The sequence below is a fragment of the Homo sapiens genome, chromosome 5 (assembly GCF_000001405.40).
Source record: "Homo sapiens chromosome 5, GRCh38.p14 Primary Assembly".
NCBI lineage: Eukaryota > Metazoa > Chordata > Mammalia > Primates > Hominidae > Homo > Homo sapiens.
This window is the reverse complement of record NC_000005.10, coordinates 66,574,776-66,601,330: the sequence shown is the minus strand read 5'-3', so window position 1 is coordinate 66,601,330 and position 26,555 is coordinate 66,574,776. Positions and strand designations below refer to the sequence as shown.

Genomic DNA, 26,555 nt, shown 5'->3' with positions numbered 1-26,555 from the left:
CATTTTGGTTGACTGATTTTCTGATCTTGTGGCTCTTACTGAATTTGGTAGAGTCCAAAAGTAGACTAAATAATAAATATGCCAAGATTTATGCACTACTCTTTTAGAATTATGTAGCTTCTGTGATTAATAAAATATAAATTCAATGAAAAGCTTTGCTGAATTCTTGCTTGCTTTTTGCTATTAATGTCTTAACCAACAAACACCAGAAACTCATCTACTGCATTAGTACACGTGGGAAACCCCCCACTCCATAAACACATCCAAAATATTAAAAGCAGTCGTCATGCTCATATACCACTTAATAGAACAATTTAAAGTCATCCTATCACTGTAAGCCTATTGTTAATAAGAGAAACCATTTCCTAACTTATACCAACAAAATAAGTCCCTTAGTGTAGCAGAGTATACATGGGTTGTCTCTTGTTGAGTTGGAAATCCTCTTACTTACTAAGCCCTTTTCTGCCATTCTAAGGATCCCAGCACGTTTCAAGTTCTAATAAACACAGTGAAAAGGAGTCAGTAACAGTTAATATACAAGTCTCTTCAAAAGCATTCTGAGTGAAACCTCAATGATTTGACTTTGTTCAAAATTTACCTGGAAAAATTGTACGTTTCTCACTGTGATCCACAATGTTTCTCTTGATAAGAGATCTAGAGGTTTGCATATCATAATTCACAACAGACAAAATCAATGAATACACACAGGTACCCTTCAATCAAATGTGCAACTATTTTCATAGATGCCATTTTTTCTCATTCATTCAACATATATTTACTGAGCACCTACTAATATATTAACTGTACCATGCTAGGCGTACAAAGACAAAATTCCTGCCCTCGGCCAGTTTGCTGAGACAGTTACCAAACAGCACCCAAGTACTTTCTTAAAGTCATCACAGGGTGTTTTGGAAAAGGACAAGGCAGAATGCCTAAAGGCAAATCTCAGAGATGTTGTCAGGGGAACAGTCCTTCAATCTAGACAGTGTTAACTCTCAGAAATGAAGTGTGCTACCTCCTCAACACACACGGACCCCAAATTCAAAGGTTTGGGGAAAGAGCCAAAGTCAGATACAGTTTCCTTAAACAAAAGTCATGCTGTATGTCTAGCTGTCATGTGTTTGACATAAAAACTACCATTACTGTCACATTAAACTACTGTTTTTAAGACACCAAAAGCTTAAAGGGTAGACTTAAGTGTGTGAGACTTTGGAAGTTTATACAATTATTGACAGTAAGATAAAGTAAAAAATAAGTCAAACTCTGTTGACATTACTAAATACATTCAAAACAGTTTTAACAAGGTTGCCAAAGAAATTAGCACTGCCCTAATATACTAGAAGCTTGAATTTTACTGCTTTTCAAAATTTGATACAATGTTACTGTAAACACACACACACACACACACACACCCCTTTAGAAATAATCAATTTCCCAAGCTAGACATAACAATTTTAAATGAACCTCTTTCCATTTTTTGAGTTGCACACAAGCCTTTTAATGCTTTATACTCAGTGCCTTTCTACAGTATAACATTACACTCACATCGCCTTGTCACAAAATAACTGGAGACAAATAAAAACTGTTTCCCAGTTTATTCCCATTTTATGAGTATAAGCTAAGTAGACATAGCCTCCGATTCTCTGACAGTAGGTAGCATATAAGTTATGCAGCAATAAAATAACAGGACAACCCAACTTTGTATTCCTATTTTGCAAAATGTCATCAAAAGTGACCTTAAAAAATTAATATTTACTTACACTTACTTGGCATTTGATGCTATATGTTAGCTACTGTGCTAGGATTAAATTAGATAGCATGTGTAAAATGCCTAACTCTAATGCTATTATTCCCATTAAAGGTAGGAAAGCTGAGATTTGCAGAAGTTGAATGGTCCACAATCCCACAACTGGTCAAGGTGGCAGAGCTAGAAATCAAACCCACGTCTTTCCACTAAAATGAGTGTTTATCACCCAGCATTCCCGAATCCTCTGGTGTGCTTTTTGAGGAGAGGGGCAAAAGAGGTTTCATTTGCTCCTTAAAGAGGCCCACAACCCCACAAACAGTGAAGGTGAACACCCCCCTGCCCCATACCATCACCAGTGTAAGAACCAGAAAATGCACACTGGACTTCAACCCCTTTCACAAAGATTATCACTCCTCTACTCCATAAGAGGGGAAAAAACTACATGGTTTGGTTTTCGTTTCACTTTAAAATTCTCAGAGCAAGTCAAGATTTTGCTCCTGGGAAATTTCCAGCATCCCATGCCGCAGGTTAAGTTACATAATAAATTGCAATACTGTATCAGTTTACACGCAATTCTGAGATTTCACAAATAGTGACCCATGTTATTTAATCATTCCACTTTCCAAAATGTGTTTCAATCAACCAGTTCTCACTGCATTGCCTGTGAAATAAGTTATCATTATATCCACTTCCAACAAAGCAAAGCACTGTCACCCTGAGGCCAGGCAATAAATCAGCGACAGAATGGGGATCAGAAGTTCCCCGACAACATCCCTCCCCACCACCTGCAAGACCATGTCACTTACCATGGAGCACCCTCCTAGCTAAATAGAAAACATAAAGCAACTAACTACTCTCCACCAGCGGCAATACTAAATTAGGAACTATTGGTGAATCATTAAGTTAGGGTACACCCCCAGCTTCCCAATGCCAGTGTGCTCATCTGTAGAAGTGGAGGCAGAAGTTAAGGGGCAAACACGTGGCACATGCCCCGCACCTTGAAAGGGAGATGTAATCAGCGAGGAAGGCTGGGGCAGTACAGGGTTTGATCATCTCCGCTAGGATGTAGCTCTGCGGTGGGTGAGGAACTCAGCAAACTCCTGACATCCCGCCGCTAGGATCGATTTGGAGCTATGGATTCATCTGAAATTCCTGATTCGAAACAGGAGTATGAGAGTGAAAATGAAATTTACCTTGAAGCTCCTCCTTTTACAGATTATGGAACTGAACCTCAGAGGAGTGAAATGATATACCCAAGGTCTCACCACTCAGTAGCAGAGGCAGTTCTAGAAAGCAGGCCTCCAGACCCTTATCCAGGATCCTTGCAATGGGGGCTTAGGGGAATTAGGGAATGGGTCATGGTTACTGCAAGTGGCTTGGCCAAGAACCAGCTAAGCAGCTAAGGCTTGTTCCATCTCTGCCAAGCTAGGACTCGCCTCCTCTCAACCTTGTGCCACATCCAGTTTTTGCTTCCAGGCTGGGGGCCTCTGATTGCTTACTCTAAGGGACAAAGGCAATTATTTACTAAAGCTAACCCCATCCAAGATGAGGAAAATACAACACTGGCACTCAGGAATTAATTTCACAATAAGTCTATGTTAAGGTGATGTTTTATTTGTGGCCCTGCCTGATCAAGATGACTTCCCCACAAGAAACGTCCAAAGCAAACAATCTTTTTTTTTTTTAAACTGAGTCTGGCTCTGAGACGTGAAGAATTGTACACTTCTTTAACTGTCCTCCAAAAGCAGAAAATAAGCCGGACAGAGCAGCCAGAAGGACACCAGAGTCCTATGCTCAGTGTGTCAGGAAGCGACCCACAAGTTCTGGAGGAACATCCTTCCAGGAAACTGGGCAGATACAGATCCCCCACCCCGCTCCGCCCCGCAAAAGGTAAGACGATCTGTACTCGGTTTGGTGACAAGCGTTCATCTGGACAAGCTGGAAACAAGTCTGAACGGGAGCTGCAGGCGCGCACGCCAGCGCCACCGAGGGAGCGCGGGGAGTCCTCTTCTCCCAGAGGACCGACGCTGCGGGGACGCGCCAAAACCACCCGCGGGCGATCCCAGGGGGCTGGCGCCACTGAAACCTCCGCAGGCAACTCCGCGGCTACCGCTGCCCCCCACCCTACTCCTGCCTCTTACCCCCAAGGCACCATTTCTCCCCCTCAACTCCCTGCCCCTCGGCCCAAGCGCTTCGGTGGGAAACAACGCCCACTTTGGAGAATCAGAGGTGAGTTGTGGGGACACGCCAGATGTCCAGATCGCATCCTTTCACAGATCAACCAAGTCAGATACAAACACGAAGGAGTTTGCTTCTCTGACATTTTAAAAACACACCATCAGGCAGCACACTGAGACACACACACGGGGGTAACAGCCACAGGGAAGTCAATAACCCACAGGGGGGCTCCTAACTATCGTTGTCCCGTGCTCGGGGCAGAGCGCTTGGGGTCCCTCCCTATCTCCAGGCCACAGCGCTCTCCTGCCCACTGCCTGTGCGCAGGATGGGAAACTACGGTCGCCCGGCTGCCGGAACCCAGAGTGGGCAAGCTGGGGAAAGGCCCACCTCCTCGTCCTGCTCCTCCTGGGACGCGCTGCTGCCCCGGGGCGCGGGCGGCACAGCTCCTCCGGGAAGCGGCGGCGGCAGCGCAAGGACTCCGCGCTCCAGCAGCACGCTTGCCGGAGCCCACGCGGCGGGCGCCCGGGCGCCCAGGGTGCCTCCCAACGGCGGCGGCGGCGGCGGCTGATGCTCTCTGGAGAAGCCGCCGGGCTCCCCTTCCTCCGACAGAGTTTCTGAGCCCGAGGAGGACTCGGCCGAGGAAGCACCCGGAGAGGACGCGGCGACCAGCGCAGAGGCTGGAGTCCGGCTGCCGTGGCCACTGCAGCCGCGGGGCACCGGCTCTGGCGCCTCCGAAACTTTCTCCCCCATTTCCCTGTCTGGCCCAAAGTGCCTCCCGAGCGGCGGGGGCGCGGCGCGCACTCAGCGCCTCCCGGGGAAGACGCGGGCTCCTGGGCTCAGGCTCACTGGCACTGCCGCTCCCGGGCTGCAGGGAGCCCCGCCAGCGACTACATGGCAGTGACGGGGCCGCAGGAGCCCGCTGCTAAGTTCACAGCCGCCCGGGCCCGGCCGCAAACGGAGGCTCCCGCGCGCGGGGACATGCCCGCTCGGGTCCGCGATCTGCGCTCCACTGTGCTCCCGCGCTGCACCCGAGCCGCGGGTACTGCGGCTTCTCCTTGCAAAACCTGCCTCCGGGACGGAGCAAGGAGACGGGCAGCCCGCAGAGCCAATGGCAGGGCAGGCGCGCTGGTGGGCGGAGGCTGCGACGCCTCCGGCCATGAGGGCCTCAGGTAGGGGAGGCGGGGCCCGGGCGCGGGCCGTGGTCCCGCTGGAGCGCCTGGGCGCAGGGGACAGGGACCAGGCGGGGGTCCCCGGAGGGTGGGGGCGGAGCCCAGAATCGGAGCCAAGGGCTGAGACTCCGAACTTAGCGGGGGAGTGGCTGACCGTCCTTGGGACGTCAGAGGGAGACGGCGAGCGGATGGTGAGACCTTGGAGAAGAACTGGACTTTGTCTCCAAAAAGTGGAATCAAGAAAACGGACAAGAAGGAGGGCTCTATAGGGAAAAAAGGAACCACACACACACAGTCACCCACGCACACGGACTCACCAGCGTGTTGGAGGAAAAGGACAGAAACTTCGTGGTATAGTGAGCGGACCCAAAGGGGAGTGACCTCTAATCTCTGCTTTTCCGTTTAAGCTCTTTGGGCCTCAGTTTCCTCAACTGTAAATGGCTACATTACTACTGGTCTTGGCAGGCTTAGAGCAAATATATATAATGCATCAGCAAAGTGCCTGGCTTGGATACACGGAGCGTTTTTAAAAGACTATTTCCTGTCTTTATTTCTGTTTGTAAACTAAAAAGTTAAGTCTGAGACTTGAACCTTTTGATAGGGAGGAAGATAAAAAAGTATGTCCTTGTATTTAATTAGGACCAAGCTCTGTAGTCCTACTCAAATTGTCTGTCTCGGTATGATCAGCTAAGCAGAGGATGAAAAGGATTCACTTTCCAATGTACATTCTCCTAGCCCTGGGTTGTAAACCAACAGGATACAGGACAGGTTGCTTCATTTTCCTTACCTCTAAGAACTAGGAGAAAGAACTTTCACTAAAGGTACCAATAGAGTACCCTTAAGTCCTTCCCTGGGGCTGGAGGATGCTGCCTGTCCGGTGACTGGAATTTCCTTGGAAGCCAGCACTCAGCTCAGCAGTGGGAAATAAATGATTCCTCTCTTGCCTTCAGCTCTAGTCCCATTCTGAGCTCTGGCACAGTGACCTGGGATGTAAATTCAACCGCCTCAGTTCCATGTACGTTGATGGAGATGTGTGCCAGGTGCAGGGGATACAAAGATTAATAAGTCAGGTCCCCTGCCCTTGAGCAGCTTATGGTCAAGCGAGAGATTGATACTGCATAATATAGCTCCCTTATCCATTTTAGAAGCTGTGATAAGTGATACAGGAAAAATGTGTGAGGGAGAAGAGGAAAGAGTTACAGAAAAACAGTAGCAGGTCCTTGAGCATCTTAGATTTCTCTTTGTCAGAGCAGCCTTGCCAAAGGTCCTTAAAAACTGGAGGACCCTAATTGAAAGCCCCTTCAGCTAATGAGCCTTTCATGCTATCATGGTATTTACAAGTGATACATCACACAGAGGGCTTCATCATATTGGACAGCAACCTTTGTCCTGATCAGTTTCCTCCCCTCAAGATGAAGGGGAAGGAAATACGTTTTGTCTATCTTGCTTCAGACAGCCATACTGCAAAATGGACTCCGGTTGTCAGGCTTTCATTGTGACGCTTCTGAATTATTCACAGGGATATGAAGACCTGCTGAGGCAAAAGGTCAAGTCTAGTGGCAGCTAAGTTGTGAGAGCAAGGCTAAAGAGAGAGCACAGTGGGGCAGTCCGAATTTAACCCGGGCCTCACAATTACTTTCCTATTTAGGAGTTCTGGTCTTTATCTGAGCCCCTACGTGGTTGATTCACCAGAGCTGAACTGAAATGACAATTTCAGCCATGCACATAAAAGAAGAGGAGGAGTTGCTTTTCAGTACATAGGGAAATAAGAAGCAAGGTCATGGTCTGAATAACCGACAGCAAGAATGACAATAGTTATTATCGCCTGAGTCCTCTGCATCTTCTCTGGATGGTCTCATTTAATCCTGGCAACAACCTTGTGAAACAGATTCTATTAGTCCCACTTTATTGATTAAGAAACTGAGGATCTGCAAAGGTCACACAGCAAGTAAGCAGTGGAGCTGTGGTTTGGAACCCAGCAACCTGATTCCAAGGCTGTCTTTCCTAGGCATTCTAGTATTAATACAATGCCACTCAAAACAGACAGCTTTTTCAAATATATATATATACCATATTATAAATATCCATAGGGAAGAAACTTTGCTGTATTGATTCAATCTGTAAAAGAAAATACTTGAGGAACATATTTGTTTTTCCCACAAACATTTTTAAGGTACTTACTATGTGCCAGGCAGGATTTTAAGCACTTTAAAATGTTAATATACTCAATTCTCATACCAGCCCAATGAGGTAGCTACTATTACTATTCTCATATCATATTTGTGAAATATGTGAAAACTATGACAGAGAAGTTAAGTAATTCAGCTAAAGTCACACAGCTAGCAAATGATGGACCCAGGATTCAGATTTGAACATTTGGTCCCAGCATTTGTGCTCTTAACCTCTACAGATCAAAGTCAAGTACTAGATCAGTATTTCTTGAACTTTTTAAACCTGAACCTCAAATAAGAAATATATTTCACACTGGAACTCATGACACATATGCATATGTACAAATACAAATAAAATGTCATGAGACAATACTTACCCATCCTTTAAGCAATGCACCCTGAAATTTATATTTTATTAAAAATAAAGATGCTAGTTGTAGTCCACTAAATAGATTTCAAACTCTACTTCAAAACTTGCAGTTTAAAAGTGTACTTGTTCATCTCCACACCCACCTGTGAGGGAAATAAACTGTAGTTCAGGCTAAGAGTATCCAGACCAGAACATGGCCAACTCAAAGGATAACTATAAATAGAAGATGACTAGAGAGTCAGGATAGTTCCCCAAAAGTATCCTAGTTAGACCCATGGATAAATTTCCTGGGGTGTGGCCAAACCACTGGACCAAAATCAGTTTTGATTTATCCAAATCCTGAAGTTCAACTTTCCTATCTTGTTAATTAAATAATAAATATTTTCCTCAGTGGTCAGAAATGTGCCCCCTCCAAGAGACCTTTTTATAAACGTGTCTAGTGTTGGAGACTGTGGGACCAGAGGTGAGTGTGAAAGCACAGGTTTTTCTCTGCAGTGTCACCATAGGCAGGAGCCAGAAAAATAAAAACAACATCATCACAACTCCTGAAAAGCCAATAGTGTAGCGTCACATGACAGAACCAGACTAGCCTAAGGCGAGGAGAGACAAGGTCGGTGTACTCCAAGGTAATCAGTTTCCATGTGTTCTGTGAGACATGCTCACAAAGTATTTGATTCAAGGACAGCACCCCTGGGAATCCGGTAAGTATTCATTGTGTTTTGTGATTGAATGCCCCCCTCCGGTTTCTATGTTTTTCTCAGAAGTGACGGGAGACATTTCCTCTGGGAGTCTCTGTTGTCTCTGCCAGTCTCTGCTGTGTAGGTGAGGCCTATTGTGAATGTCAAGCTGTCTCTGCCAGATGGACGATGTTCCAGCAAAGTCATCATACCCTTAAGTCTACTCCCAGTGTCATGACCTTTCTCCCAAACATCAGGTTGGGAGGAAGGTCAGTTGTCCTTCTTTCTTACATAGATGAAATTAGAACATCATGAACTCAGAACGAACATTTTTGCAAAATCACAAGTAAATATGTTTCTATTTAATGCACTAAAAATCCTAAATATCAGATTATCTTTGAATTATGAAGATGATTATATTATCCAACTTTGGTAGACTATTTTTATTATCATTGTTAATGATGGATTTGCCTACTCCCCTATGACTAATAAAGTACAATTTCAAGACAAAGTAAGCATCTATCAAAAGGTGTCTGTTGAGATGCGCTAGATTGGGGTTTCCGATTTATACCCGAGGGTGTAGCATGATACAGACCATGGAAGTTTCTGATCATCCAGCCAGGAGGAAAAGCCCGTGGAGCCTCTCAAGCTTTTGTTTGTATCTAAGGAAAGGAACGAGTGTTACTATACAAAGCTCCAGAAGATAAGTCAAAGGATTTTTAAATGATGGTCAAAAAGAACAGGGGAGGAAGAGGAATAATGTGAATTGCCGCTATTGGGTTCTCTGACCTAGGTGTTGAGAAGGATGGGAAACTAAGCTAAGTTAGCGAATTAAAACAAGCCTGTGATGGACCAAAGAGGAGTATGCTGCTGATCTGATTTCTCTGATCAAAGTTTCTGAATGTGTTGTATGTGGAACACTTGCATCAGATGACCAGGGGAGTGGGAGATGCTGGCTTCCTGGCCCCACCCAAAGATCTGGGAATCTGTATTTTTAAAGGACTACCCCAAAGAAGTATCAAGTATTCTGAGCCTTGAGTATTACTGAAGATGGGCCTAATTTGGAGATCAAAGAGACATTTTATGGGACAAATGTGCCTGGCTCTATAGAAAGAAGGTGGTTGGAATGATCTTGACTGCACCTTGTTGGACCTGTTTCTTATTCTCCTAGAGACCAACCACCTTGAGGAGACAAAGACAGCTTAGCAGCTGGACAGGAATATGCATGCTCTAAAAACAGCTGGAAAATCTGAGCTAATACACAAAAAGAACTGAGGATGATGTTCCCTTGAGGATTCTGTTTAAACAAAATACAAAATGGTGACCTATTTCCCACAGAAGACTCCAATCTTTTGCATTTGTCTTTCCAAAACGGATACTCACATCTGGGATTTTCTTGCTATGCTTTCAGCATGAAATGTTCTTTTATCACTTTTCATTTTTCCAAAAGATGTATTCAGTACTTTTTGCCTGTTGAGGAAATAGAAGACAGGCAAATACATTTACTAGCTTTTATTCATTAAGGAGGTTTGCTTTCTGAGTCATTTTCTATTTTCAATTCTTAGAGCAATCTCCTTGACTATCTATGCTATATGGCAAGTAGTTCTTTCTACCACTAATGCCAACTAATTAGAAAATAAAATAATGCTGAATAGTTAGCTAGCAAATATGAGTTTCTCTGCAGCCACAAGCCACTTTGCAACCCTGCGAATACTTTTTAAGGCTTTTGGTACTTGAAGAAATACCATCTTCTAGCCCCTTTTTTCTCAGTGTGTGATCTGCCAATGAGCAGATGTGGGAGCTTGTTAGAAATGCAGACTCTTGGTCCCTGCCCCAGACCTACTCAATCAGTCTTAATAAGATTCCCAGGGGCTTCATAGACACATTAACGTTAGCAGAGTACCACTCTAGTCCAGTGATTTTTAAACTCAGCTGCACATTAGAATCACCTGTGGAACTTTTTAAAACTACCTACACCTGGGTCCCACCCCTAAGCTCTTCTGATTTGATTGACTTGGACTGGGGTATGGACACTAGGATTTAACGACTTCCCCAGGTGGGAAGTGGCTGATTTTAGGGCCAAAGCAGGTAAAATACAAGATAAGCCTTGAATAATTCATGGTGCACAAATTAAGGAAATGCTCAACAAAAGATGGGATCTTACTGAAAGAAAGCAGATGCCAGTCTAAGGGAGCTCTCAATGGCCAAAGCTGGAGCAATTTGAAAAATAAATTCAAATTATAATAACAAATAATGATAGCATTGGGTTTTAAGTCATAGACTAAAATAAATATCCATGAGTCCACACTCATATAAATAAATAATGAAATAAATTTAAAAGTAAGCAGAGGAGCAGAGACAGCTCTTCCTCACAATAGAGGTCCAATTAATAAACATAGAAAAGAGGGAAATAGAGAACCACCATTAGGAGAACACCACAGCAATCATTGTTTTGGGTTGACAGGACCCAAAAATGTACATCAAAATTTGTGGGCAAAAGTCTGAGAAGAAAAGGATTTGCATAGACTTAAAATCCTTCCCCTAACGTACTTACCAATACAAAGATAGTCACTTTACAATGAAAACCTTAGGAAACAGCAACTTAACCATAGAAACATCACTATTAATACATATCAACATCCTGAGCCCCTTGCTATAATGCACAACCTCACCTTTGTGGTATTCTTGACAAAAATGCATAACTTCAATCATGAGAAAACACAGCCAACCCAAATTGAGGGACATCGTACAGAATGACTGTTCTTACTCTTCAGAAGTATCAGGGTTGTGAAAGATAATTAAAGTGTGATGAACCGTTTCAGGAACTAAAAAGTAACACCTAAATACAATTTGGGATCTTGGGTAAGATCCTGGAATAAAAAAAAAAGTACATGAGGAAAAAAAATGGTGAAAAATCCGTAGTTTACTAAATAATATTGTACCAATGCTAATTGCCTGTTCTTGATAACTATATTGTTATTATAATTATGTTACTAGGAGAAGCAGGGTAACAGGGACTAGGGTACTCCTAGTAAAAGGGTACTAGGGACTCTTTCGGTTTTTTTATTTTTACAACTTTTCTAAAGTCTAAAATTAGTTTAAAATAAATAATTAAAATGCAAAAGTCCCTCGGTAATGCTGATGGTAGCCAAGGCTGAGAACTACCACTTCAGCCCTCAGTGACCCCATTCCTCCCTTCCTCCTTTCTCCTTACACAAGGAAAATAATTTTTTTTCCTATCTTGCCTTAACCAAGTGGCCAAGCTTGGGTCGAGAACAACATTGTGAGTAACAACATCACTGTTCAAAGCCAATCTCCACCCAGGAAAATGTCCATGGATAGCAACATGAGAATCTCATACTCAAAGCATAAACATAATGGTAGAATATTTGGAATCTGGCTGCTTATATCCATTCTGCTTTCTTTTGGTGAGAACATCCCAGTTTATTTTTAAGGAATTACATATTTCCTTCTGAGCAGTCTCAACCTTGTCAACCCAGGATTGGGCTATCTTTGGACTTTGAATCTTGAGAAGAATAACACAAGATCAGTGGTATCTGGACAAGACTATCAATTAGTTCCCATTAACCAGATCCAGAGCGGCTACGGTTCCAGTACTTTTCCAAGTCTTATTCTCCAGCTTTTCCTTTCATTTTCTGAACTACCATTAAACTTCCTTCTGATTGAATTAGCTAAAGTCAGCAGTTGCTTGCCACCAAGGAACCCTAAGAAATACAGGTGTGCTGACCTATATTTCCACCCAGTCCAGGTGGAAATAAGACATCTGAATGCAATCCAAAAGCTATTAATGATACTAAACTTAATGATGTATTCCTGACCTTGATAAGAGTGCTGTTTCCACCAAATTTTAGCAATCTTATTAACGTTTCAGGTATAAGAAGAAATCCCTCTTACTGGAGGTTAAACTACTTAAAAAAAAAAAAAAAGAGTGCCCTGGCAGAAAAAAAGACCATTTCCAGTTCTGGAAGAAACAGATCCTGGCACCACACTATGTTGGAGTTGTCTGTCTGTCTTCCTGCTAGGTTACAAGAGTCTTGAGGGCAAGAGAGCTTACTGCATCTTACTGATTCAGCATCTTATTTGCGCTAGCACCTAGCACAATATCTGGCATATGGTAGTTCATGATAAATACTTATTGAATGAATTGAGAACATTGCCACCATGCGACTTTAAACCAGCTTTATTAAAAGTCTGTGTTCATCCAAAAAAAAAAGTTTAAGCATTGTATAGGCTGATCAAAGAACCCAAAATATTTTAGGAGGAAAAAAAGCATCTGTTTAGTAAAGTGGCCTCATTCCTGAATAGTCCTTCATTTTAATAAAAATAATAATTGCATAGAACGCTTCCATTCAAACCACTATTATTCTGTCATGCTCATAGTAGTTTCTTTGCAACTATTTGCCTTCCTAAAACATCCAAATTAATAAGCAATGCTTGCATGAATATGGTGAATAGGGTGGAAGGAACACTTAAGGAGCTCTCGAGACTAAAGCTGCAAAATTCTTCTTGCAGGCATCCCAAAGACATCACTCAGGACACTAATCAAGGTGGGAAGAGTCTATGCCCCTTGTTTATAGAAAGCCCCATTCTTATGTAAATTTCACTCATGTAAGAATATCAGGATCCCTTATTACACTTATTCTTGTTGCAGAATTAACAAGGGAATTGTGGCAGGAGGAAGATAAAATGAAATAGTGGGACATCAGCATTATGAAAGTCAGGGTTCTTAATTGCCAATCATGGAATCTATTCTATTTGGTTTAAATAGGAAGTGGATTATTAGAAGACATTAGAACGCTCACTGAGTCTTTGGAAAAAGTGAAGAAACAGGCTCTGGAGTGAGCTTCCACAGTCCGCAGAACCTCAATGCAGAACTGGCAGGGAAGGAAATGGCTGTTCCTCACGATTCCAAAACCATGTTGGTTTTCCCACCATCTGTGCCTGCAGAATTGATGTCCTGCACCCCACCTGCTTCCTCATATGCATCACTTCTGTATCTGCATCTCTGTATGTGCATCTGATTAGCAGAACCCAAGTCACATGACTGCACCCTGGCGGCAAAGAAACTGAGAAATGTGGGAGCTTTGCATGCTATCTTGGGAAGATGGGATTCACACCACGGGGAACCATCATAATGTAGAAGGAGTATTAAAAGATTTGGCTAACAGGGTAAACCAAAATGATTTGACTTTAAAAGGCTCCAACCCTTGATTAATTGTACCAATCTGCCCCTAGCATAATGTTTTCAGCCATCAGGTAGATGTGGGCCTGAGCATCAGCTTCAGCATGCCTGCTCCAAACATTAGAGTCATTTCTCCACTAAATATCTCATCAGGGAAAAGAATTATCACGTACTAAACACATTCTATATGCTAGACACTGTACTAAATGCTTTATGTGCATTATGTATTTAATCTCCTCAATAACCCCACTTCAAGGGCTCAATTCCCATTTTACAAGTAGAAAAATGAGTGCTGAGAAATTAAATAGTTTTTCTCAAAGTCACACAGTAAGATGGGGCAAAGATTTAATCCAAGGTCTCTCTCAAGTCCATGCTCTCCCTTCTATATTGGGTTCTTAACCAAGATTTTCATGGAACCATGGAAGTGGCTTCAGGAGCCTGTGTAATTGTGGATGTGTATCTTTCTGGGGAGATCATGCACAGCTTTTATCAGATTCAAAAGGGGTGTATAACTCCCCAAATGGTAAAGTATCACTGCACTCCCCAAAGTTGTAGTAGGTCAGTTTATGGTCATATGGTCATAAAGCTATTATTGTTGGGGCAGGGGTATATTCCAATTATATTTTTTTAATTGGGGTTAAAAAACTCACATGACATGAAATCAGCCTCTTAACAAATTTTTGTTTACAGAACATTATCATTAACTACAGGCACAATGTTTTACAGCAGATATCTAGAACTCTTTCATATAACTGAAACAATACACATTGAACAGCAACTTCCCATCTCCCCTCCCCTTAGCCCCAGGCAACCAACATTTTACTTTCTGCTTTTATGAGTTTGACTCTCCAACTATATTTTTGATGTTTGATCTTAGCATTTATTATTTGTGATATAATTTTGTAATATAAGATTCAAATTTAAAATTAGAGTCAAGAGCCCTGTCTCTTGGAAGTGGGGGGAATGCATGTCTGTGCCGGAATGAACAAAGGTTAAAACCAATGAGAAAGGTTCTGTCTGAAAGATGACAAAGGGCTGAGCAAACCAGGAACATATTTTTCATTTAACTGCTGAAGTCTTAGCTGTACATCAGAAGGCCTGGCTGCTATTTGTGACTTTGCCACTGACTCCATTTATCAGGGCCTCCATCACCTGTATGATGGGGTAATATAAAACCTGCCATCATTTCCTCCATCACAATGTTATGAGATTGTTTTGAAAGTGCTTTCATTCCCCCAACAGAAGGGCATTATAGATCTCTCTATATATACCTGGTATGACTTCTTTGGGGGGAAAGAAAAGCACCTCAGAGAAGACTTGGCTCACAACTTCTAGGACTGAGTAATTTCTGAGTCTCACAGGCATCCATACGTGGGATGTTCTTTGTGAAGAAAGATTTGTTTATATCTTATTTTTTTCATTTCTAGTGGGTTGTTTCTTCCCTCCTTTTCATTTGTTGTGCTTTTTTTGAAAATTCTAGTATAAATCAGCCTCTCAAATTTTGTTAGCTAGCTGGAATGTTGCTTTAGATGGTTCATTATTTGTGTCTTGTTGTCAACATGCATAATATTTTACAGAACACAAAAGCTTTACTCCAGAAACAAGACAAAGATTATTTTAAAACAGAAAAGATGCAAAGAAGCCCAGGAGAGTCAGCCTGGCCCACTAGCAGAAGTAACAGTGTACACCGTAAATACAGGAGAATTTCTAAATGTAGCCTTTTATGAATGGGATCAACCATCTGAGTATGAGATTTCTCCTTTGCCACCCACTCCCCAAGCAATCAGTGTTTTAAGTGGCATTTTAGAAAGGTAATGAATATCTGCTAACACCCAATGTCAACTTAATTTCAAAGCTGTAGAATGGACCATAAATAAAAACAGTGAGTGGTATCCATTCTTAGCCTGTTCATACCAATGGAAATATGGATTACCAACAGGGAAAGCCAAGAGCTCTTCTTGAATAGGGTGAAATTCCAGATAGTATGAAGTTCAATTGTTGGTTGCTATTGTTCTCAATGTTATTATTATGTTTTCTTGAGTGTTTTTTATAAATAAAAATATGAAGAAATTCACAATTACGGTGACCTATTGCAGTTCCTAATTTAAAACCATGATCTTACATATTATATTGCTTGGATGAAGATTAATTGTACTTATTTAATCTGATGTCTAGTGTAGGAACAGGAGCTACCTCCTCAAGAGTTGAAGAATTCTTCACATTGCTGCCCACACAGGAAACCTGAGCTACATCATGTTGCCTCCATAGGATGCAACTAACTCTCCAGTTGGCAAGATTTTCTCCATAATCAATCAGTCATCAAGTCTGTTGACTTTTCCTTCCCATAACTCTCCAATCATCCTTTCTTTCTCATGTCAAATTCCATTTCTTTGACTCAAGTAAGCCCCATCACTCTAAGATTACTCCAACAGCCTTATAAATGTCTTCCCTTCTTATAGTCTGGCCCTTCCAATGATCTTGTACCTCCATGCCAGATCAATCTTTTGGAAACACTGCCTTGATCATGCCACTCTCCTGTGTGTCAAGGGCTACCCACTGATAATAAGGTAAATACCAAAATTCTTAGCCTAGCATGCAAATTCCCACAATCTTTTCAGGTTCACTTTCTCAACCTCTCTCCACAAACCTTGCACTCTTGCCAACTAGATTATTCACTGGACTCTATTCCAGTCTCTCTCCCATAAGTGTCTATATACTTAGAATCCTGTTCAGCCTTTCTCTCCACCATAACAATTTGACAACTACTCGAAGTCTATAGATCTGACAAAACTGAACTAAGATCCAGTCCCTTAGGGGGCAGTTTAAACATGTCCTCCAATTATTTGATATGCCTCCCACTGAAAGGTGGGATTTAGGTCCTCTCTGCTTAAATATGGGTTGACTTTAGGGATTTCCTCTTAACCAATAGAATGCTCTATTAGTTAATGGAATGCTCTTAACCAAAAGAAGGATTGCTGCATAAGTTGGAAGGTCCTGTCATAAGTGGCCATGTAGCTTCCACCTGTTTTTCTTGGAATGTTGCTCTAGGGGAAGCTAGGCACCATAGAAGAAGTCCAAACACCCTGAGACTACCATGCTGGAGAGACCACATGTAGACACTCTGGTGAGCCCAGGTGAGCGCTAGTATAATCGCTTTTCAAGGAGGAAGATGCCCTGGACATTCAGCCCAGTCAGGCCTTCTGACGACTGAAGCCCTCATCAGTATCTCAGGATCCCTCCAGCAAGCCCTTCCCAAATTCCTGACTCCCAAATCATAAGCAAACTGAATGGTTGTTTTAAGTTACTGAGTTTGGGGGTGATTTGTTATGCAATAATAATAATTAGAACACTCCACACACTCTCTTCCTGAACTCCCACTCCTATTTTCTTTGCTTTGGACTTTGAAAACTTTCTTTAATGTAAAACTTGCTTTATTCTAGACAGTATACAACATTTCTTAGACAATAAATACCTTTGATACAATGGGGAGGAAACAGGGCAACTAAGACTTTACAGGAACCAAAAAATACATTAGATAGTATTTCAAAGGTATTATACAAGTACATTGGTTAGGCACATAATAAGTGATCAAATTATATAATTTAAAATGTTTGCTGATGATTATTGTTAGGAAAAAGGCAACTTACTTATTAATAAGGTCAATTCTTAAAGAACTCTATTCCATCACTAGGACTCGGACTATAAACATTTAAACTATAAATAGTGTTAGCTGCCATATTGTTAGTGGTGGTTATGGTTTTGTTGCTCCCAGAAATGATATCCCATAAGCATTATTAAGTGAGAAAGATCAGTATGTTTTCCCCTGTAATTGTGCTTCTGTCCGTGAAAGTAAAATTCTTTATTAAAACAGACAAGCACAAATATTTATTAGTATTACTAATTGCTCTGTTTAAATAGGACATATAATTAGGATATGATTTAAAGAAATGTCAGATACTTGATACAATTGCATCTTCCTTTCTCATAATCCTTGTTATTAATCACTGCTTAATTTAATCCTGGGTTTATCCTGAGTTTAAATAGGATTAACTTACCCTTTATCCTCCTAAGAATCAAATCTTAAATTTCTGGATCACTTTCCTTTATTGATACATCTCTGTCTATTTCTGATTATGGAACATTCCTGCAACCACTTATTTTTCTAGGCTATTGATAAAGCAATTCTCCTCTAGGTCTCTTCTTTTTAGAACACATCCTTGTTCCTCTCCCTCCCCACCCACTGTCCAAATTTCTACAAATCTTAGTGGAAATTGATATTTCCTTTGCAATTACAGCATGAGTATCCTAGGACATTTCTCTTCCCCAAACTAGAAATTCTTACCATCTCTTCAAGTCTCTGATTCTGTTTTGAGCAATCAATCCTGAATCACGATTTTGTATGTAAAATTCCTTTCCAAATGGTCTGGGGTTACAAAGCAAAGCTTTTCCAAAGTTACCTTTTCTAGTTAGAACTTATGATTTTTAATAAAGATATATAAAATAAGTTTACCTTAGTAGGGCTAACTTTCCACTAGCAGAAAAGCAAGGCAATAATTTTAGGGGTGAATGTTTGGCCTTGACAGTAGTTTTTATTGTTTTTATTTTGCTTTGTTTTTGTTTTTTTTTTTTTACCAGGATGTAAAGGGAGAGCGGTTGATGATAAGAGTCAATCAAATCTTAGGTGGCAGCCCAAAAATAGAACAAAGTTGGGAAAATAATGTTGAAAATAAAAAAAAAAATGGTGGGATAAATAAGAAAACAAAAAGCTACTAAAGAAAACAAGAGAAGAAAAGAAGGCTGAATATGACTGCTTCAAAGAGAGACCAAAGGGCTCAAAGTTAGTGAGGGAAAAAAAGAGGAAGCAAACAGATGGTTTCAAAAACGGAACTAAGGAAATATTGGTCCTATGTTTGGAAAAAATAATTTTGATCTAATAGTATTGTGAATGGAAAGATTTAAAAGCAAGACCTAACATCTTGTTGGATCATCTGTGAGTAATGAATACATATTTGTTGACTAACTAGGAAAGGAGCTTCTGTGAGGAAGCTGGCGAGTGTGAGTGAGAAAGAGGCTGACAATTTTCTGTGCAGCGATAATATGGCTGGATTCTAAGGATGGGGAGTGTCTGTTACTGATACCTGATCTCTGACGTACTTAAATATTTTAGGGATGTGTTTATAGTTTTAATTTCCCTCACACAGCTCAGAGTGGGTGGGTACATGATACATCACACTCTAAAAAGCCTGTTACTGCATTTCTAGAGAATCATAATGAACAGTTTTTCTCCTCCTATGAACCACACATTTCCTCTCTTTCTTCCTACATGCAGCACTAAAAGCATTAAGTGAAATTACAGAACATTTTACACAATTTATAAAGTAAATATGTCTTCTAGTTATATTTAGCATTGTCTCTTTTTACCATTTATGGATATTCAGAAGGTAACATTTGCTTATTTAGGAAGGGCAGCAATTACTTTCTCTATCTCAGTCTTTGGCCAGAATATCCTAATGATGACCCCTTTTTTTTCAGACAATCGGGCAAAACCTAAAATTTACTAATATAAAATTAAGAACAATGTGTTTGCTTGAAAATCACATTTTTTAACAATGTTGTTTTCTACTTCTTCTGAATCTTCTAAGACTTTTCTAAGAAATTACCGAGTTAAAAACTTCAGATATGTCCAACAAAAAGACCCCGTAATGCTGTTATCTGCCCCCAAATGATCACTTTCCTATTGTACTTTATGAAACAAAAATGTCCTGGGCTATTTTCTTCAAAATAATCCACTGGGAAATGGAGATTTGGAAGTTATAGGCAAAACACATGGCCATGTGCCAGTAATTGTTGAAGCTCTGTGACAGAACGTTTTCTTAATGAAATAAAGTATATGTGCAAGGATGTCCACAATGGCAATATTTATAACATCAAAAAAGTAGAAACAACTGGATTATTCAATAGTAGGAAAATGGCTTTAAAAAAGGGTCAATAATGGTATATTCAAAAGGTACATATCATGTGGCCGCTAAAACAGACCATCATGTTTTCAATAAATATTTCATGACATGGAACAATGCCCACAGCTTGCCAAGCAAAAAATCTGAGTGACAGTCTATATATACAATATAATCTCAATTTTTAAAAATAAGTTAAAATATAAATGGGATAAAATTCTTCAGACTGGCTCAATTCTAATTTTTATCCTAAGAAAAGAATCAGAAATGCATAGAAAGATTTATGTATACAGATGTTTATTATAGAATTTATTATAATAAAAAAGAAATAATTTGGAAATTGGTCAAATTAATCTGATATCTATTTTGTGGAAAACTATACAGTCATTAAAAGTCATATTTTTGAAAAATATTTAATGAAACTACAAAATGTTTGTAAAAAGAAGTCAAGTTAAATGGCACAATTCCAAACAATATAGCATAGTCCACACATATTAGGAAAGGAATCAAATCTATTTATAGCCTGATAATAAGAAATTAGAAGTTTTTAAATTTGTTTTTAGAAAACAAATGGGGCCAGGCACGGTGGCTCATGCCTGTAATCCCACCACTTTAGGAGGCTGAGGCAGGTGGATCACTTGAGGTCAGGAGTTCGAGACCAGCCTGGTCAACATGGCAAAACCCTATCTCTACTAAAAATACAAAAATTAGCCAGGCATGGTGGCAGGCACTTGTAATCCCAGTACTTGGGAAGCTGAGGCATGAGAATCACTTGAACCCAGGAGGGGAAGTTTTCAGTGAGCCAAGATCGCACCACTGCACTCCAGCCTGGGTGACAGAGCTAGACTCCGTCTCAAAAAAAAAGAAAAGAAAGAAAAAAGAAAACAAATGGAATTTGAAAATGTGCTCTCTTTATCTAGTATCTTGGGAAGGGTGTGTGTGTGTGTGTGTGTGTGTGTGTGTGTGTGTGTGTGTGTGTTTCCACAATGGATTTTCTAGGTCAGAAACTAAACTCCGTTACCACTGATAATGACTGTTCATTCCAGGCTGGGTGTGTTTGGAAACTCGCCCTCCAAATCATGAGCTCACAGTCTTCTATCATGCCTTCTAGCTCACTCTTCATTCCAATGTGCAGAGATAGCTCTAGTTGCTCTGGTTACTAGTTTTAAAAAGGTACCAACACAACAATTTATAGGGAGAATGAAATCTCTGAAGCTAGAATCACAAAATACTGATTCTATTATTTGAAAATGAAACAGTAACAACTTTTTCCCCTAAATTGTATAGGCATAGATTATTTAAGGTTTAATTTCCTTCTTTTTATAGATACTGTTAACTATGATGTATGAGTCATTTATTTTTATATTTATATGCAACACTGAACACTTGTTCAGATGCCACAAATGACAAAGGCAAAATAAAATGATGGAATGGGATAAAGATAGATACATCTCAGGAGGAATAAACTGTACTTGTACCCTTTAAATTTATACAAATAAAAAAGAAAGAAAGAAAAGAAAAGACATTTGGATAAAATAAAACTGACCCACTGACAGTGGGAGCCTTCCTTGAAGGAGGTCACTAACTCCACCCTCCTTAGAATGTTCATTTTGAGGGGAAGCGCTCCCAGGAAATTGAAGCCCAGTCTTCCTCTAGACTTCAGCTCTCCATTCCCCAGCCTCTCAAACTCCACAGGCTTGCAGGTAACCTCAAAGATTAATCAATAGAAGGAAGCAGGGGATCTGCATAATATGTCTGCATGAGCCCAGCAAGTCCTAGGAAGTACAAGGCAGAATTGCTTGGTTCCTTGGGGAAGCTCAGCAGTCTTGGGACAGCTGGAACTATGCTTGGTCTGTAGAATCGAGCAACCCGCTGTGATCTTATCCAATTCCACTCCATAGGCTCCAAGTGCACATACCTGCTTCTGAATTGGCTGCTGCAGTTGTGAATTATTACGGTCTCTACAATCTAGATATATAATATCATCGAGTAGAGAAAGAGACTGTGTGGGTGTGTGGATGGGGCAGCTCGGGCTGTCTTTTCCTCTCAGAGTAGCAATCTTAGCAAATGCATTGGGCTTTTTATGTCATACTCTTCAAGAATTATCAAGTATATTGCTAATGCTTTTTTGGAAGACAGTATCAAAGCCCTTAAAATAAAAACAAAAATTTATAAATTTGACCTAGCAAATGCTTTTCTAGAAAATTATGCTAAGGAAGTAATTAGTACACAATATTTATATACAAGGGTATTCATCAAAGTGATGGTATTATTGATCCATTAACTACTATAATGCAGTCATATTTATTAACTTAGAAGGAAGTCTAAATTCTGTTAAATGAAAACTTTAGGCTATAAACAGGATCTATGATATAATCCCAACAGATTTAAACATATACATAGCAAAGACTCTAGAAGGTTCCACACCAAAATATTAGCAATATTTATCTCTGGCAGAGGCATTATGGGTAAATATTACTCTCTTCTTTACATTTCCATGTGTTGACTAAACAAAGCATAAAATAAGGCAAGTAAAAAGAAATCCATCCCTACCTTCTAGAACACAAGATTTTTATTAAAATGATAATTCAAACAGCCTAATATCCCATTTTCTGTGTAACATCCTATTTGCGCCTGTATTGGGATGCATTATGGTCCTGTGTTTAAGTTTAAGCTAAGCAGTGGGAATACAGATATTACATACTTTATTCTCCAATTTACTGGCTCTGGCAAGTCAGGAAATCATTCTGACTACAAGTTGAATAAAATCAGCCCAAATAGAACTAGCATCTTATCTCCATGCTGTCCGAATATGCCCATAATCTTCCGACTGCAATCTGGAAACCTCATGGATGAACAGTTCTGTTCATCAAAGATTATCATTCAGGGATTAAAAATACATGGCATGGCTACCACCACTACCTCCTCTCACAACCATGGCAGACATCATTAATCACACTTTGTCCTATGAACCCAGATGTGGCCTCAAAATCCTTTCTAACACAGCTGTGCTGCAGGCAGCTCGTATCAATCATTTATTATTTCAACGCAGGTTGAAATCTATTAGCCATATCTGCTCTGATTACTCTGGCTGGAACACTATTATTCCTGTGGCTGGTTCCCAGGACTATAGAGTTGAAGAGCATGACCACTTTCTTTCTTTAATGATCTCTCTTCCCCTTAAAATGTATCGAACATATAAAGGGGTTGCTGACATAAGGCTTACTCTCAGGAGCCCAGCAGCATGTTTTTAAAAACCCCCTACCTTCAGTCCTGAACTAAATAAAAGAACCATCTCTTTTCAAGATCTTCAAAAATTAAGTGATAGAAATTTGAACTCTCTCCTCCTTATGTTAACTGTGTTTATATAACACACAAAATAATAGAATATTAAGAGCAGTTACAAATATTAACAGAAAGTAGAACTCTAAAAGGGCTATAGAAAACTAAAATGGAAAAGGTCATCATACATGGAACCAAAGCAGTAAATGAACAATTTTTGTATTCTACATCCAGAAAAGTCATACTTCTTCCAAAAGTTTGTCTGAGGAAGGTACTGTAAAATCTCAGAGAACTTCCACATGTAGGACAGGCAGGATCTAGCCTTATAGAAATGACCACCTGGAAACCTGGATCAATATGACAGATTAATAATATTTTCTAACACTCTTTTTTTTCACTTTTTTCTTTTTTTTTTTCTTTTTTTTTTTGAGACAGGGTCTCGCTCTGTCACCAAGGCTGGAGTGCAATGGCACAATCACAGATTACTGCAGCCTTGACCTCCTGGGCTCAGGTGAGCTTCCTGCTTCAGCCTCCCATGTAGCTGAGACTACAGGTGTGTGCCACCATAACCAGCTAATTTTTAAATATTTCTTGTAGAAACAGGGTCTCACTATGTTGCCCAATCTGGTCTTGAACTCGAGGGCTCAAGCAATCCTTCTGCCTTGGCCTCCCAAAGTGGTGAGATTATAGGTGTGAGCCACTGTGCCTGGCCCTAGCTCCCATTTTCTAACAACCTCAGCCTATACAAAACTCATACAAAACTCTATGCAAAACTCAGCCTCCAATCCTCCATTGAACTGAATGGATGAGCTGTTACTATAGCTCTTGATTCTGTATTTTAATCAGAAGCACTAGAGAAATTTCTATATTGTGACTGCAAAATCTCCCACAGGGTTATGCATGAAATCTGCCCAATCATCTGTCATGTAAAACACAAAAACAGTGTAACTCTACCCCTTTGAGGGAATTACTTTGTTCAAATGACCTCATTCACTGGGGCGAGGGAAGAGAGTGAAGAAGTCTCACCACCTTATATCTGCACAGTTTGCCTCTATGATTTCCAGCCAAAGGGAATTCTTCTTATTTCTAAAGGGAAACTCTTGCCATAATAGCAATAGGACAAGAACTTGATGAAAAACTGATTTTTATTGTATGTAAAGAATCTCAAAGATGATAAAGAAAAGAAAAAAATCATTTCTAATTCATATGGTGACCTTATTAAACAATTAAGTTTCTCTTCATGTAATCAAGTTGTATTTAACCAGATGGAAGAAAGAATTTATTTGATTGAACTTTTTTGTAGCCAGCAAGGACATGTTGGTCTTATAAATATCAAGGATATGGTATCTCCATTTTTTTTTTTTTTTTTTGAGACAGAGTTTCACTCTTTTTGCCCAGGCTGGAATGCAATGGTGCGATCTCGGCTAACTACAACCTCCACCTCCCAGGTTCAAGTGATTCTCATGACTCAGCCTCCCGAGTAGCTGGGATTACAGGTGCGTACCACCACACCCAGCTAATTTTTGTATTTTTAGTAGAGATGGGGATTCACCATGTTGGCCAGGCTGGTGTCGAACTCCTGACCTCAAGTGATCCGCCCACCTCGCCCTCCCAAAGTGCTGGGATTACAGGCGTGAACCACCACGCCCGGCCAGTATCTCCATTTTAACTGCAGTTTCCCAGCTCAACAAAGATCAAATGATCCATGTGGCCTTGTCTTTGCTAAAATATTGCTCTGTCTGCACAATGTAAACACATACTCAAAATACCCAAGGCACTGACACTCTTCTTTTAGGTTGTGGATGTCATCTATGCCTAGTAGCACCTTAAGAAAGCTTTGTAGCAAATATCTACAGAATTATTTTAAAACATTTTTTTAATAGTCAAGTGCAGTAGTGAGAAGGGGGGAAATACAGAATTCTTATATAAATTAAAGTTCCTACACAGGCCTTAAAGTGCCACAGTCACATTTCTGGAAAACCAGGATGAGACTGTGGGTAGAACATTATAGACTAGTACTGCCCCCCAAAAATATATATATGATATGAGCCACATATGCAATTTTAAATGTTCTAGTATCCACATTTTTAAAAGCACAAATAGGTGAAATTAATTTTAATAACAGTTTATTGAACCCAGTATATCTAAAATATCATTTCAACAATTATTACTGAGACTTTTCTGTTTTTGTCTAAGTATTCCAAATTCAATATGTATTTTGTACTTACATCTCAATTCAACAAGCCACATTTCAAGTGCTCACTGAACCACATGGGTTAGTGGCTACGTCATGGACAGTACAGTCAATGAACATATTTCTTGATGCTTCCCTTAGCGTAACTTTACCTCAATCCCAATTTTCAAATTTTCCTCCTTACCCTCTGATCTCCATAAGCAACTTTTTCAAAATGCCTCTGGGGTTTCATTCTCCACTCCATTCTCTTTTATCCACACACTCTCCCTGGGTCCTAAAGCTTTAAATTCCCTCTATATGCTGATGACTCAAATTTCTATCTCTCGCTCAGAACTCTCCCCTGAGCTCCTGATTACATATTCAACATTTCCTCTTGGATGTCTAATAGATGCCAAAAATGTAGTGTGATCAAAATAGGTATTGTTTAGGACCAACTCCCCAGTATCACCACCATATTTACTCCTCCATCAGGCTTCCCCTTGGCAAAAAAATGGCACCACTACCTACCTAGTTGTTTGCCTAAATACCACTCTTCCCCACATCCCATATCCAATCCATTAGCCACTTCCACTGTCTCTACCTTCATAATGTATCTCTATTCAAACTCCTTCTCTTCACCTCCATTATTATAACCCAAGTCTGAGACACTATTATCTCCCTCTGGATTATAGCAATCATCTCCTAACTGGCCAACTGCCCATAGTCTACTTGCCATTTAGTAACCAGATTGGTCTTCAAAGCACAAATCATATCATATCTTTTCCCTTGCTTACAACTCTTCCATTGGTAATGGAGGACGTGAAAAGATGATCAACATCATTAGTCGACTATTAAGGAAATGCAAATTCAGTCCACAATGAGATATAGTTGCATACCCACTAGAATGGTTACCATAAATAAGACAGACAACAAAAAATGTTGGTGAGTTGAGAAATGAGAAGCTTCGTACATTCCTGGTGAGAATATAAAATGGTGCAGTCACTTTGGAAAACAGTTTGGCAATGTCTGAAATTCCTATATAGCCCAGCAATTCCACTTATAGGTATGTATTCAAGAGGAATGAAAGAAAACATGTCCACATAAAGACTTGTACACAACTGTTCATAGCAGCATTCATTATTCACAACAGTCAAAAACTGGAAACAACCTACCTGTTCATCAACAGATAAATGGATAAACAAATTGTGGCATATCCATACAATGGAACACTGTTCAGCAATAAAAAACAGCAGACTACTAACATATCCTACCTAACCTCAAAAACATTATGCCTGGTGAAAGAAGCCAGGCACCAGAGTCCATATATTGTATGATTCTATTTATAGAAATGCCCAGAAAAGACAAATTTAGAGAGGCAGAATGTAGACTAGCAGTTGCATGGAAAAAGGAATAACTGTCAGTGGGCTGAGGGATCTTATTGGAAGAATAAGAATGTTCTAAAACTGATTTATGTTGATGGTTGCTCTCCTGAATTATAATTAATATATAATTATAATTATAAATTAATTAATTCAATTATAAAAATCATCGAATTGCACACTCAAAACAGTTGAATTTTATGATGTAAAAATATACCTTAGTAAAGATGTTTAAGAAAACAAATAAACAAA

At 40.2% G+C, this 26,555-nt stretch overlaps 1 protein-coding gene across 8 annotated transcripts in view, besides 3 other annotated features; it reads right to left on the bottom strand.

The window, feature by feature from the left end:
* The window catches only part of MAST4 (microtubule associated serine/threonine kinase family member 4), a 573,201-nt gene extending 568,263 nt beyond the window's left edge, over window positions 1-4,938 (bottom strand). For all 8 annotated transcript variants that reach the window (XM_024446044.2, XM_047417157.1, XM_047417158.1 and 5 more), the window contains exon 1: window positions 4,313-4,938. In XM_024446044.2, the coding sequence (XP_024301812.1) occupies window positions 4,313-4,675 (363 nt within the window). In that variant the 5' untranslated portion in view covers window positions 4,676-4,938. The remainder of the gene's footprint in view (window positions 1-4,312) is intronic.
* Window positions 4,193-4,342: a silencer, noted in NCBI's record as "silent region_16066". NCBI's record gives its function as "represses an Ori minimal core promoter by ATAC-STARR-seq in GM12878 lymphoblastoid cells {active_cell/tissue: GM12878}" and the evidence as "EXISTENCE:reporter gene assay evidence [ECO:0000049][PMID:35858748]".
* Window positions 4,353-4,492: a silencer, noted in NCBI's record as "silent region_16065". NCBI's record gives its function as "represses an Ori minimal core promoter by ATAC-STARR-seq in GM12878 lymphoblastoid cells {active_cell/tissue: GM12878}" and the evidence as "EXISTENCE:reporter gene assay evidence [ECO:0000049][PMID:35858748]".
* Window positions 5,103-5,302: a silencer, noted in NCBI's record as "silent region_16064". NCBI's record gives its function as "represses an Ori minimal core promoter by ATAC-STARR-seq in GM12878 lymphoblastoid cells {active_cell/tissue: GM12878}" and the evidence as "EXISTENCE:reporter gene assay evidence [ECO:0000049][PMID:35858748]".